The sequence below is a fragment of the Homo sapiens genome, chromosome 6 (genome assembly GCF_000001405.40).
Source record: "Homo sapiens chromosome 6, GRCh38.p14 Primary Assembly".
Taxonomy (NCBI): Eukaryota; Metazoa; Chordata; class Mammalia; order Primates; family Hominidae; genus Homo; species Homo sapiens.
Genome location: NC_000006.12, coordinates 55,757,801 through 55,773,238, shown reverse-complemented (window position 1 = coordinate 55,773,238; position 15,438 = coordinate 55,757,801). Strand labels below are relative to the sequence as shown.

General features: G+C 33.9%; 1 protein-coding gene across 4 annotated transcripts in view; it reads left to right on the top strand.

The window, feature by feature from the left end:
• Window positions 1–15,438, top strand: part of BMP5 (bone morphogenetic protein 5) — a 121,938-nt gene that overhangs the window by 102,352 nt on the left and 4,148 nt on the right. Inside the window, exons 5-6 of one of the 4 annotated variants that reach the window (NM_021073.4) lie at window positions 12,706–12,782; window positions 14,124–14,234. The exons of 1 other annotated variant lie outside the window; for it this stretch is intronic. In NM_021073.4, the coding sequence (NP_066551.1) occupies window positions 12,706–12,782; window positions 14,124–14,234 (188 nt within the window). Of the gene's footprint in view, window positions 1–327; window positions 6,890–12,705; window positions 12,783–14,123; window positions 14,235–15,438 lie in introns of those variants that run through there. 2 more of the 4 variants (NM_001329754.2, XM_011514817.4) reach the window with 2 other exon arrangements.

Sequence of the window (15,438 nt, the reverse complement as noted above, 5' to 3'; positions counted from 1 at the left end):
ATCCTGGAACATCTCAATGTAGTATCACATACTTATCTATTTGTCAAATATGCATTCTTCTGTGATAATGGCCAATTTATGCATAGCACTCTGCCAGGCATGATGGATGAACTAATAAGCAAAAGATACATGATTCCTATATATATTATTTTACCAAATTGAAATTCTAACTTCAAACAGTCTTTGTCATTATTCCTAAAATCTTCATTTTTCTCAGGTTACTTGAAAATGACAGGTCATACAGCAGCTATTTATTACTCAAACATGCATGAGTGTTTAGATAAGAAATAGATGACGACCTTTATTTGTTTGTTTTTATTTGCTCAGAGACGCTCCATAAAACTACTAGGTGGAATTCATTGGACTTTTCCTAAAGGGTAGGCACCAGGAGAATCACGTTAGAAGTCCTATTTGTGTGGCAAGCAACAGAAGCAGGAGGGAAGATTTCTGTATGGAATTGCATTATACTGAATTAAATGCTGCTTATAAGGTGATGTTTTAAAATAATTTTCCAACAAAGAAATTTAACCACTTTTAGTAAAGCATGACACTAGTGCCTTATTACAACGCTATTTTTTAAAGATATTCACAAGATATTTAGTTTGGCAAAAAGCTGTAATTACTTAATATGAAAGATGGAGAAAAATAACTTTCTAAGACCTTTTCTTCCTGGTAAATACTAGGCTGTCAAACTTGTATATTTTTCTTTTCATGTAGAATGGTTCTAAGTTTGGTTGAAATGTTTTTAATTTAATGTAGCAGACTGTATTAAGAAAAAGTTTTGCTAAACCTTGAATAGAATAGTAAATAATTTTGGAGGAAATTACAAAGGGAAAAGTATAAGTCACATACTTATTATTTGAGCTCATAATGACTCTGGCAGAGGTGTTCCGGTGACTGAAATCATCAAAGTCCTTTTCCCTATTGGTTAACTCTATTTATCTTCTCTTCCTAACCACAAGAAACAAATGTACGTCTATAAGCAGAGATGAATAAAACACATGGAGCAGAAATCACGTAACTTTTCACCAGTTTCCTAACACCATTTAGAGTACAAAATTATTCTAATATAGACCAATATTTTCTTTTTGAAATTTTGTCATTGGCAACCATTTCTGTGAAATATGTGGTAGATGGTTTTGGAGTGTGTTCATATTTTGATAAGAAGAAGAAAGAAAGTAGCTGGTTTGTGTCTATAAGACTTAACCTTTCAATAGGTAGTAATCAAGCAGTCTGGGAAAATCCTCATAGGATTTGGTCTAAAAGACAAGGCTTTAAGGAAAGGGAATGCTAATATAAACAGAAAATTTGATACTTCAGAGACTTGAAATGCCAGTGAAATTTAAAAATTATCCAAATATAAATAACAAAGTTGTAATAGTAACTAGATTTTACAATAAGATATTGTGCAAAGGCTCTATGGATAAGAAGGGGTGGGATGGGGATGGAGTTAGGGAGGAAAGTTGTATTGCCTGTTTGCCTGATTGCTGGGTTTTTTGCAAAGCATATTATCAAATGTTGAAAATCTCCATTAGTACAGAAGAATTAAAACCCAAGTCATTTCTGCTATCTTTATCACATTTCTTTTCTACTTCAACGATTCTTCCTTCTGACTTCCTGATGTTCTTTTTTTCTTCCATATTCCTGTGGGAGAGCTTAGAACAGAAACCAGCACAGAATAGGAGTCCCCAAAATACTTGTTGAGTAAATTAACGTGCTGACAGCATAGGAAAAACTAACTTCGTTTTTCAAGTAAAGGTATATAGAACCATTACTTCCAGGTTTCCTGCAGAAACTGCCCGGCACTGCTTGTTCCTCTTCAGGTTTTTGGCAAGATGGTTGAACAGACACATTGTGGAAGATATTTCCTGTTTCATGTTGAGGCAGTGCAAAGGGTATTTCTTTGAATTTGTGTATGAGAGGAAAGAAAATGGAGCCAATAGCTAAATTCTAAGCTAGCTATCCTTGAAGATATAAAGGCACTAGGTGGATAAGATTTTTTTAAAAACCTCCAGAACATGATGCTGCTTGAAGGAGTATATTCAGTGTTGAAAAGAATAGAGTACAGGCATACCATGTTTTATTGCATTTTGCTTTATTGTGTTTCAAAGATAATGTGTTTTTTACAAACTGAAGTTTTGTGGCAGTCCTGCATTAAGCAAGTCTATTGGTGACATTTTTTCCAACAGCATTTGTTTACTTGGTTTCTCTGTGTCACATTTTGGTAATTTTTGCAATATTTCAAAATTTTACTGTTATTATTATATTTGTTATGGTTTATGTTATCAGTGATCTTTGATATTTATTGGTAATTGTTTTGTGACACCACAAATTTTACCCATATAAGATGGGAAGTAAATGTTGTGTGTGTTCTGATTGCTCCAACGATCGGTCATTACCCCATCTCTTTCCCTTCTCTTGGGTTCCCTATTCCCTGAGACACAATATTGAAATAAGTTCAGTTAGTACCCGACAATGGCCTAAAAGTGTTCAAATGAAAGGAAGATTTAAACATCTCTCACTTTAAATCAAAAGCTAGTAATGATTACGCTTATTGAGGAAGGTATGTTGAAAGTCCAGATAGATTGAAAGCTAGGCCTCTTGTGCCAAACAAACAGTTGTCAAGTTGTGACTGCAAAGGAAAAGTACTTGAAGAAAATTATAAGTATGACTTCATCAACACAATAATGATAAGAAAGCGAAATCGTTTTCTTGCTGATGTGGAGAACGTTTGAGTGGTCTGGATGGAAGATCAAACCAGCCACAACATTCCTTTATACCAAAGCCTTATTCAGAGCAAAGCCCTGATTCTCCTCAATTCTATGAAGGCTGAGAGAGCTGAGGAAGCTGCAGAAGAAAAGTCTGAAAGTAGCAGATATTGGTTCATGACGTTTAAGGAAAGAAGCTGTCTCCATAGCAAAAAAGTGCAAGGTGAAACAGCAAGTATTGATGAAGAAGCTATAGCAAGTTATCCAGGAGATCTATCTAAGATCACTGATGAAGGTAGCTACACTGAACCACAGATTTTTAATGGAGATTAAGAAGCCTTATTGGAAGATGTTATGTAGGACTTTCATAGCTAGAGAAGAGTCAATGGCTGGCTTCAAATCTTCTGACAATCTGACTCTCTTGTTATGGGCTAATATACCTGGTGAGATTAAATTGAAGACAATGCTCATTTACCATTCTGAAAATCCTTGGACCCCTAAGTATCATGATTAATCTACTCTTCCTGGGCTCTGCAAATGGAAGAACAAAACCTGGATGAACAGTGCATCTGTTGATAGCATGGTTTATTAACTATTTTAGGCAAACTGTTGAGACCTATTGTCCAGAAAAAAGATTCCTTTCAAAATATTAGTGCCCATTGACAATGTACTTGATCACCCAAGAGCTCTGATGGAGATATACGAGTAGACTAATTGTTTTTATCATGCTTGCTAGCACAACATCCATTCTGCTGCCCATGCATGAAAGAGTAGTTTTGACTTCCAAGTTTTATTATTTTAAAGATTTATTTTGTAATTCTACAGCTTCCATAAATAGTGATTCCCCTGAAGGATCTAGGCAACCTTCTGGAAAGGATTCACCATTCTAGATTCCATTTAAGAACACTCATGATTTATGAGGGGTTGAAATATCAACATTAACAAGGGTTTGGAAGAAGTTGATTCCTACCTCCTGGATGACTTTGATGGGTTCAAGACTTCAGTGGAGGAAATCATTGCAGTTGTGGTAGAAATAGCAAGAGAACTTGAATTACAAGCGGAACCTGAATATATGACTGGATTGCTGCAATCTCATAATAAAACTTGAATGAATGAGGAGTTGCTTCTTATGGTTGAGCAAAAAAAGTGGTTTCTGGATATAAAATCTTCCTGGTGAAGATACTGTGAATGCAATTGTAATGACAACAAAGGATTTAGCATTTTAAATAAGTTTATTTACTAGAGTAGAGGCAGGATTTGAGAAGATGGACTCCAATTTTAAAAGAAGACCTTCACAAAGTAAAGTGCTATCAAACAGCCTTGCACACTACACAAAGAATCTTTTGTGAAAGGAAGAGTCAATCAATGTGACAAATTTTATCGTTGTCTTTTAAGAAATTGCCACAGCCACATCAACCTTCAGCAATCACCAACCTGATCAGTCAGCAGGTATCAACATTGAGGCAAGACCCTTTACTAGCAAAAGGATTACAACTTGCTGAAGACTCAGATGATCACTAGCATTTTTTAATCAATAGATTATTTTTAACTAAGGTATGTACATTTTTAAAGATATAATCCAATTACACACTTAATTGACTGTAGTATAATGTAACCATAACTTTTACATGCACTGGGAAACCAAAAAATATTGTGACACTCACTTTATTGTGACGTTCACTTCATTGCAGTGGTCTGGAACTAAATTCACAATATCTCCCCAGTAAATGTCTCTGACATATGCCTGTATGAAGAATCCAAAAGAATTAACAGGGCAAATGGCAAGTCCTGGATCATTACAGAACTGCTAAGAAAGATTGCTATTGTATGCTGGATACTGAGAATCTTCGAAAAATAATCCAATCATGTAGTGGCCCTGCCTACATCCATGGTGATTTCGTAGGGCAAGTCTTTGGTATACAGGTGCTCTTCAACTTAAAATGGGGTTATATCCCAATAAACCCAAATAAAGTTTGCAGTACCATAAGCTCAAATATCATAGCTTAGCCTAGCCTCCCTTACACATGCCCATAACATTTACATTAGCCTACAGCTGGGCAAACTCATCTAAAACAAGGCCTATTTCATAATTAAGTTTTGAATATCTTATGTAATTTATTGGACACTCTACTGAAAGTGAAAAACAGAATGCTTGTGTGGGTACTCATAGTATGATTTCTACTGAATGTGTATTGCTTTCAAACCATCATCAATTTAAAAAATCTTAAGTCAAAGCATTGTAAATCAGATAAAATGCATAGTTACTAAAATTGAAACATTCTATTCTTGTTCTCAAATTTGATAGGCGCTATCTCTTGCCTAATAAATACAATGTAAATTTATGCCTCTTGGAAAAACAGATATTAGTCAAAACAAGAAAATAATTAATTGAAGTTATTTCCATCGAATGTTTTATATTATATAATTAATACACTGTTTTAGTGTTTAGAAATAATAAAATCATAAATAAAGCTAAAGTTCTCCCTTGTTTACCTAATCCATACATAATAGATTACCTTAATATGCTGATATCAACATGGTACAAACCTCTCTCTCATCTCTTTTGAGAGAATGTATTTTTGTTATATGCTTTTAATTACATGAATTATATATTTTACAGGTTTTATAAACAATGTTTAGCCATATGTCAAATAACGTGAGCTAATTCTTTTCAACTGTTGCAGCTTAGTATTGGCATCAGTTTATTTAATCATGTCACTCCAAAAAGACATTTTGCTTTTTTTCCAAGTTGGCACTCTCAAAATAAATGCTGTACTGAAAATCCTGCAATGCTGCACAAGTGAGAATATTTCTAATCCACGTAATTATGACAGTAACTAATATTAAAAGTTGCTATCTGTGCCCTGAATCATGAAAAATTCTGGAAACCCCTCCTGAAACAAGTATGTTGATGCATATAGTATGTCGTTAGCTAGCTCTCTCTATCTATATATTTATCTATCATCTATCCATCACTTAATATCTAATACTGACTTCACTACTTACTAGTTGTATAATCTTGCACAAGATATATTACCTCTCTCTGACTGTTTCCTCATGTATAAAGTGGGAATGTTAATTATACCTGCCTTGCAGAGCAGGATTACAAGAGTTCTGAGGATTAAATGAGTTATTATATATAACTAATTTAAAATAGTGGTACACGGCAAATGCTCATTAAGTGTTGAACATTATAATTGGTTTTATAGAACTGGTACAAAAGGAGTTCAAACTCTTACATCAGAGAAAACCAGAAGTTCACACTCTCTCTTATAAGTACTCATACCTGTGGTCACAGGATTTCTTATCTTTTGAGACTTTAGAAGCAAGAGAAATTTTAGTCTTTAACCTAATTTGGCTAATCTATATTAGCAATTAACTACACACTTTAAAAAAGACTTGCCAATAGACATTAAGGCATTGTGTCTGTTGTTAAATTTCTCTCTAGGAAAAATCCACAGGAAGAATATATCTGGGTATAATTTCTTATAAATAATATTTATTCAATATCAAATAAACTCCCATTATATGCCAGGCACAGCATTATATGCTATATAACTATATGCCATGCACTATATTAACTATATGGCCCAAAATACTACATGAGGGACTTATCTGAGAATAAATAGACATTTTCTAGAATTAACAGACATGGATGAAACCATTTCAGGTTGTAGAAATGAAATGGCTCTACAGTTGTAGAGCCATGGACCATTGTCAAATGGCTGGGGTATGCATGTATTTTTATGTGAGAGGAATGTGGTATCAGCTAGGAAATTATTAAGGGGCCAAATCATAAAGAGTAGGGTATGTGATGATAAGGAGCAGTGATGTCTTCCCATAGGCAATTGGAAAAAGAAGAATCATAACCAGATATGCATTTTAAAAAGTTAATTTTGGCCATGGAGTGCAGAATGGAATGCCAAGGGTGGAGACAGAAAACTCAAATAATGATTAGGGTCTAGTATAATACTCCAAGCAATGAAGATCATAGATTGGAGAGAGAGATGTAAGAACCAAAACACACTGGATAAGGCCAGCAGGGGTTTGAAGAGGGTGGATAACCCAGGACTCTGGAGAGGGGAGTGTTGAGAGTAAGTGGAATGTGTAGGGAAAAGATATAGCTATAAGCCAAATTGTTAGATGTAGGATGAGGCTGACCAAATGCCACAGGAAACAAAGAAAGAAAAAATATAAGATGGAGCCTCCTTGGGGAACATCAACACTGTAAGTACAGGCAGAGGAGAAAAAGAAATTCCATAAAATAAGCCAAAAAAAATCAGAGATGTCAAAGAGGAGCAGGGATAAAGTGTTATTTTAGAAAAGGTTAGCAGAAGAGGACATTGAGGAAGTATGAGGCAACTAAGAGTGCAAAGGGCTTCCAACAGGATACCTAGATTAAATAGTGAAATTGATCAACTAATGAGGCTTTGTGGATCCATTTAATATAGGATCAGAGGGGAAAAATGAAAATCAAGAAGCTTATTAAATTTTCTGGCCTGGACGACTGATGGTCCTATTAACAAAAATAGTGAACATTGAGTGTGAGGTCAGAAGTAGAAATAGTGAGCAGGAGGCGTCAGGGAACTGTCCTTTAGAGGTGTCTAGCAAATTCAGGTTTGTGGATAGATTTTTATATCAAGGAGCTCTAAAGTGACGATGTTAATTACATGATCCACATGGATACTTTGCTGAGCAGAGTTATGCAAACACATTACAGAGTTATTTTGTGGTGTCTTGCGTCACACATTGGTACCTACACAAACACAAAATTGTGTTAATATATCTACAAAATAAACAACAGTACGTATTACTGGCTTGTGTGTAAATGCAAGTGAATAATTCACTGGGTATAGAAAATAATGATTAAGCTAGAACAACAATAGCATTTTAAAGCCCCTTATCTTTGGGTAGGATTGTTATTTATTTTTGGGCTTATCCTGAATTTTTCTACCCCCAAGGTCATATCAAAATCCACATTATGGTAGCACCATTCCTGCTTTTTCAACTCTTGTACCTTCATTCATTTATCATTTTAAATTTTTATAAATAAATTAAGGTCTTCTGATGCTTTAGGTATCAACTTCCTTTTTCCCTCTTTCTCTTTGGGAAATAAGAGTGAAAACACTAACATCTCCTCTTTTGCTTTGAAACAGCAGCATATCATCATATTTAGCTCATTGAAGCTGTTGTCATGGTTAAATGTTAAGTTTTATTTCTGATTTTTCTTTGCTTTTATAGCTATATCTGTGTTTCATCCCTTTAATAAACTAATACTATGTTCTGAAGAAAAAAAATGGTATATGAAGGTTTTTGGCCTGGATTGTCTTTGTCCAGTTCACAGCAAGTCTATCCCATGTTTATTTATTTGTTTTTTTCAGGAGCTAGTATGCAGAACTTTGACAGTCCATGCAGATTTCTGGAATTTGTTTTTATTGATACATAATAATTATACATATTCATGGGGTACATGTGATATTTTGATAGATGTATACAATGTGTAATGATCAAATCAGGGTAATTAAGATATCCATCACATCAAATATTTATCATTTCTTTACATTGGGAACATTCCTAATCTTGTCTTCTAGTTATTTTGAAATGTAGAATTAATTATCGCTAACCATTGTAACCATACTGTGCTATTATCGAACACTACAACTGATTTCTTCTGTAAGTTTTTTAAAAAGCTGTAGTTTTGTGTTCATTAACCAATTGTTCTTCATCCCCTCTTTCTGCTACCATTCCCAGCTTTTGGTAACCACCATTCTACTCTCTACCTATCTTCAGGAGATCTTTTTTTTTTTTTTTAGCTTACACATATGACTAAGAACAGGGGTTATTTGTCTCTCTGTGCCTGGCTTATCTCACTTGACATCTTCCAGTTGTTTCATCCATCTTGCTCTAATTGACTTTTTTTTCTTTTCTTTCTTTCTTTTTTTCTTTTTTTTTTTTTTTTGAGACAGAGTCTTGCTCTGTCGCCCAGGCTGAAGTGAAGTGGCACCATCTCGCTCACTGCAAGCTCCGCCTCCCGGGTTCACGCCGTTCTCCTGCCTCAGCCTCCTGAGTAGCTGGGACTACAGGCGTCCGCCACTACGCCTGGCTAATTTTTCGTATTTTTAGTAGAGACGGGGTTTCACCGTGTTAGCCAGAATGGTGTCGATCTTCTGACCTCGTGATCCGCCCTCCTTGGCCTCCCAAAGTGCTGGGATTACAGGTGTGAGACACCACGCCAGGCCAATTTCATTCTTTTTATGGCTGAATAATAAGCTGTTGTGTATATGTACCACATTTTCTTTATCCATTCATACACTGATGGACACTTATGTTGCTTCTGTATCTTGTGAATAGTGCTGCAATCAATATGGGAGTGCAGATGTATCTTCAACTTATTGATTTCCTTTGTTTTGGATATATACCCAGTGGTGAGATTGCTTGATGATATGGTAGCTCTACTTTTACTTTTGGGAGGAACCTCAAAAAAGAGGTTGTATTAATTTACATTTCCACCAACAGTGTACTAGTGTTCTTCTTATCATATTCAGGAATTTTTGTGTTTTACCAACTTTTACCTCCACGTATTTATTTTGTTTTTCATGATTTTATTCTAAGACAAAAAGAATCAAACTAAAGAAAATCGAACTAAAGATTAAATTTATACAATATCTAGAAATTGACCATAAAGAAATTTGCATAAAGTATTTAGCAATATGTTTACTATTTTGGCATGGGCTTCCTAATATTATTACTATTAAGAGACAAAACAGAGAAATATTATTGATAACACTTGCACTATGGATAAGACATGTTGGTTTACTTTTTCTAGTGTTGATTGTAGAACATTTTAATAATTTTTGCCATGACTCTTCATTTGTAGGCAGGCTCATTAACAGTAGAATTATATCCATTTCATACTAATCTCCTAAAGGCTGCCCATCAGTATTTTAAAAGACATAAATCTAACTTCCTTGCCCTTCCTCCTACGGCTTATTCTGCCAAGCATTTAGAGTAAACCTAACTGCAGGCTTTTCTAGTTTGGGTACAACATTTACTTCACTCACTATCCATTAATTTTTATTTCTGACAGAATAAGCATATGGTCCTAATGCTCTATGAAATCAGACTCTTGGAACCAGATTCTGTTATACATTTCATTGCTTGTTACATTTATGTGATGTTACATTATATACATCACTTAGCCTGCATAAAAAGACATATATATGGAACAGATATATTTTGACTTTAAAGTTTTATTTTCTTTATTTTTTATATACATAGAATTCAAATAATCATATTTGTAGTTTATGGCTTTTCATATAAACATGTATGTGCTATTGGCTACAATGTTGTTATTCATATTTAATATTTTTAATTAAGACAAAGATGAATAGATAAATATTCCCATTATTACCTAATGCAGAGTTTGAAAAAGTAAGGCCTAATAACCAAATTAAGCCTATCATTTGTTTTTGTATGACCTACTAAGAGTGGTCTTTACATTTGAAAATGTTTGCGTGGAAAAGAAGGACAATATTTTGCAGCATGTGGGAATCATATGAAATTCAAATTTTAGTATCCATAGGTAGTTTTACTGGAATATAGCCACACCCATTCATTTACGTATTGTCTACGGTTGCTTTTATACTACAGCAGCAAAATCGAGTAGTTGCAAGGAGACCACTTAGCCCAACATATTTACTATCAGTTTCTTTAAAAAAAAGTTTAAAGAAGTTTAAAAAACTTTTAAAAAGTTTGCTGACCCCTGGTCCAATGCATAGCTAACATTTGTTTTTCCCCGTTTTGTATATCAAGGAGTTTATGAAATCAAACCAATAGTAGAATCAATTATTTCTTTTTCTAAACACGATCGAGGAAATTTAACCATTTCATGTTTAGTGTTAAAGTGTTATTTATCCATTGCCTGAACAAAGTTAGCTGCAAGGGAGATATTTCCCTGAAGAAGAACCAGAATGTAGAGTCTGAAATAAATCCTCTCTCCCCCATTTCCCATTATCTACTTATTTAATCTGTTTTAATGAAGTTAATTGCATAGTAGGAATAAATAACCTAGAAGAAAAATACCTTGATTTCAAAATTTAATCATTAGCTTGTTTTTTAGATTAACATTAAACAAATAATTACTTGAAGTAACCATGAGAAGCAAGGCCCTCTATGATGGGCTCCTTTGATCTCTAACTTGCCTACACTTTCATTAGAGGTTGAGAGTAATTAAACAGGAAGGTGACACTTTAACAAAAACTGTAAAACAAATTATTTTTTAATTTTATTTCTTTAATATTTTATTTTAGAAATAATCAAAGTGGACTAGTTTTTCGAATGTTATTTGTACAAAATGTGAGCAAACCCAACACAAGACAAGAATGAAAAATGTTCCATAAATCTCTGTGTTTCTTCAGTATTTTACTTTATTCCAGATGCAAGATTGAAATTCTACATTTATATTTAATAATTTAAAACAATTATAAAAAGTTATGGGTATTTCAGATTACATTCCAAAATATGTAATGATAGTATTTCACTTGCCTCAAATCACTTATGGAACACTATGAGAAATTTGTCCATTAACTCCTCAGATACTTTTTTGAATGTTTATTTTATGCCAGGCACTGTTCCTGGCACTAGGGATACATCAGTGAGCAAAACAGAGCCAAACGAGATTCTTGCCCCTATGACGCTTATATTTTAGTGGGAGGAAACAGACAAGAAGCCACACATAAATAAATGAGGAAATGACATAGCATTTCTAAAAGTGATAATTGAGATGGAAAAAAATCAGAACAGAGTGAGAGAAATCAGGTGTATCAGGGTGAGAGTTGCAATATTAAAAGGGTAGTGAAGGTCTTGTTGAGATGTTGCTTAAGCAAGGACATGAAGATGCAGGAATTAGCCATGTAGCTATCCAGGGAGAGGGACTAGTGAGAGAAAAGGCTCTAAAGTGGGAGCAAGGTTGACTGTGAGTGAAACAGCAAGGAGGTATGGTGGCTGGAGCAAGGTGAAGGAGAAGAAGTGAGAGTCAGAGGGGTAATAGGATCAAATGAGTCAGAGGGGTAATAAGACCAAAATGTAAAGAGCCTTGTAACCACTCTGAGAATATTTCACTCTTAATGATATGAAGACCATAGAGGGACTGGCAGGGAAGTGATGTAATTAAGTTTACTTGTTAAAAGGTCCACTTGACTAGTTTGCTATAGAGGAGCAAGGGCAGAAGCAGGGAGACTAGCAATGAGGATATTGCAGTAATTCATGCCAGAGATGATGGTGTCTTGGACCAAGACCAATTATGAAGGGCGTGAGAGCAGGTGCATTTTGGACTTATTGAAGATAGTGTGTGAGATTTCCTGACAGATTGGATGTGTAAATGAAAGAAAAAAAAAGAACTATTTTGATTCTTGTTGTTTTGTTTTGGTTTTTATTTTTTAACCCAGGCAACTACCATTAGTCAAGAATGAAGTCTACAGGTGGACAGGATTTTGGGGGATGATTAGAAGCTCAACTTGTGGTATCCTGAGGTTAAGATATTTATTAAAATAAAATCAGCTAAGTAAGATCCCAGTATCTGCCTCATGGAAGATGTTACAAGTTATTGCACAAATATTATATATATATAATCTCTCTCAATATATTAAGTACCCCTAGAGTATGAATGAATTAATGAATAAGTATTCATTGAGCAGATGGTACTCAATGAACGACAGACACCATGCTGTGCCCTGTCAAGTAGATGGCTTAACAGAATCCATGTTAGAGCTTCATCAGGTAAATGGTATTGTCTACATCTCACAGAAGAAGAAACTCAGGACAAGTAACTTGACTGAAGTTCACATGGTTAGTAAGTAGTTCTAACTTTAAGATTGAAACTCATTTTTCCACAACTTCAAATAAAACCCCTTTAAAAAATCTTACCAGTGATCTCACAAAAGAAGTATTAGTATATCTGTAAGCAACCATTTATTCAAAATGTGGTTTTTATCTTCAGATTATAACACAAGTGAGCAAAAACAAGCCTGTAAGAAGCACGAACTCTATGTGAGCTTCCGGGATCTGGGATGGCAGGTAGGAATTTTCAGTCAACTTTGGTGCTTCTTTTCTGAATTATCATAAATCCTTAATAAGTCATAGTCTTTGGCAGTAATTTTCCAATATAATACCCAATGATTTTTGACATGACCATTTAGAATATGGCTTATTCACTTTATTTTCATTTCTCAATTAACCTTTTACCATTGAAACATGATTAGTAGGTATCACAGTCAAACAAAAAAACTACGCTGAATGAGACATAGAACACTAAGATATTTAGGAAGAAAAAAAAGAGTGCCGTTGTTTAAGTATTCCAAACTTTTAATTTTATTGTAAATAGAAGATTTGTTCATATTAGTATAAGTAACTCCACTAAGCCTCTGAGGGTCTCCAACTATTGGAATGTCCCTGTCATGGGGAAGATGACAGACATTTTTTTTTCTTGCACTTAAAAATGTATTGCTATCTTTTGGGTAGCCTTTAGAAACAGGATGAGGAGGAAAATTTCACCAAAGTAATTTTTTAATGGCTCTATGTGGTGACAGTTTAAAATGAAATTTTAAGACTTCTCCTAATATTCTATTAGAATGGATTCTCATATATGAGTTCCTGTATTGAGAAATACTATTAAAATGTAAATATATTCAAAATTCATGATAAACTTTCCACATGAATAACTCAATAATTCCTACATTTGTGCCAAGTTTTATTTCTCTGTGGGAAAAATATCAAGGCAACCATTCATGTACCAATTCTTTAGCTTCCCGAAATTTATCATGTTCAGTTTTTAGGAATTTGCTCCAATTTATTTTTTCTAAAGAGACCATAAAGTTAATGCATGAATGGAAAGAAAAACAGCATGCAGAAAAAATATTAAGGCTTTAGGATGTTGTCAGACTTATAAAACTAAGAATGAGTTCTTAAGAAGTAATGAGAATGATCTCAATTAACTTGATTCTCCTTTTTCTTTCGGGTTCACTTGAACTTTCCAGAGTTCATCATTTCCTGTTTAAACAATATTTAGAATGCTATTTTCTTATAATAGTTTTATTCGTGAATACATGTTTAATACATACTATGAATATCTTACATAACTACCCCTTGGGAGTAATTAGAGAGGACAATTTCTTGTGAAAATATTTATACTTTTGTCCTAAACTTCAGCTTAAAATTAAAGGGTGTGGGGAAGATAATTCCATTAGAATAATTGTTGGACCAAGAATAGAAACCTATTCAGATACAATATATTTCAATAACTTTTAAGATTTTTTAAAAATTTTTACTTTGGTGATATTTTTTCTTGTTGTTTTTTTTTTTTTTTTTTTTTTTTTTTTTTTTTTTTTTTGTGTGTGTGTGTGTGTGTGTATGTGTCAGGACTGGATTATAGCACCAGAAGGATACGCTGCATTTTATTGTGATGGAGAATGTTCTTTTCCACTTAACGCCCATATGAATGCCACCAACCACGCTATAGTTCAGACTCTGGTAAGCTTTGTTTTTGAAGGATTAAGAAAAGCTTAGAATGCAAGCATATTATAAAGTTGTTTTAGAGGAAAGCATCTATTTACAATTTTAATGCATTATTTTATCTTCTCAAACTCATTTGTTTCTTTTTAGAGCTGAAGTAACAACTGTGGGTATAGTCAGGAAACTCGGGCTGGTTTAGAGTAATCCCAGTTACACAATGGAGAAGGATTCAGCTAGGAAAACTGGAGTAATAACATGAAATGGTCATCTTGAACTGTTTGTTCATTACACAGTATGACTAAGCACACAGGTTCCCTGGGGCTGTTTCTAACCTAGCAATTCATTAGTAATCATTGCAAAAACATTGAGTAATAGCTGTACTAAATTTCATCTGAGGGTTTTTAATTATTTAAGAATGTTCTATAACATACTTTGGTATTATAAAAGTTCTTCAATGTAGTATACAAATAGGAAGCTAATTTCTATTTCTTATTGTTCTCCTCCTCCTCCTGTAATCTTTAAAGTAGAAATTATACTTCCTTTTCTTTATTCCTCAATCTCAGAAACTTAGCAGTGATTAAATCTCTAATAATCTAGGCTTATTTTTATGAACAATGTACTGAAGGGTTGACGTGATTAACTGATTGCCTTGTACCTAATGAGCTCATGAAACCTATTGAGAGTCTGATGTACCTCATAGCATCTGGCCTATCGATTTGGCAGAGGAACAATCTCCCTAAGACTAAATGAGAGGCTCCTAGAAAACATACCAGACTATGTGACATAATTTTAAATCAATGTTTGGGCTAATATAAAAATTTTAACTTTTGTATTTAAGAAGAATGGGAGAGAACACATTATTTTAGAATCAAGGCTTGATGGGAGTGGAATTATTTGGTGGACGCCAGTAAGAGAAAAGTAGATAGTAGACAATCTTGTCTTTGTGGGTGAGGTTTATTTATGGAAAAAGAAAGAATTACTCTTAGAATTTGTGAAGATTCGACTCTCCATAAGTTTGCTATTTTCCCCCACAATTAATTTAAAACTTAAAGCTGAATTAAGGAATAAACAATGATATCTGTGAACTGGCAAAAGCAAATACTTGAATGACTTGATATTTACTGGCATCTTTATTGACTTAATAAAATACGACAGAATATCTAGACACCAAAAAGTGCAATCTATAACAACTAGAGCATGAACGTTATCAAAGACTGGAAAT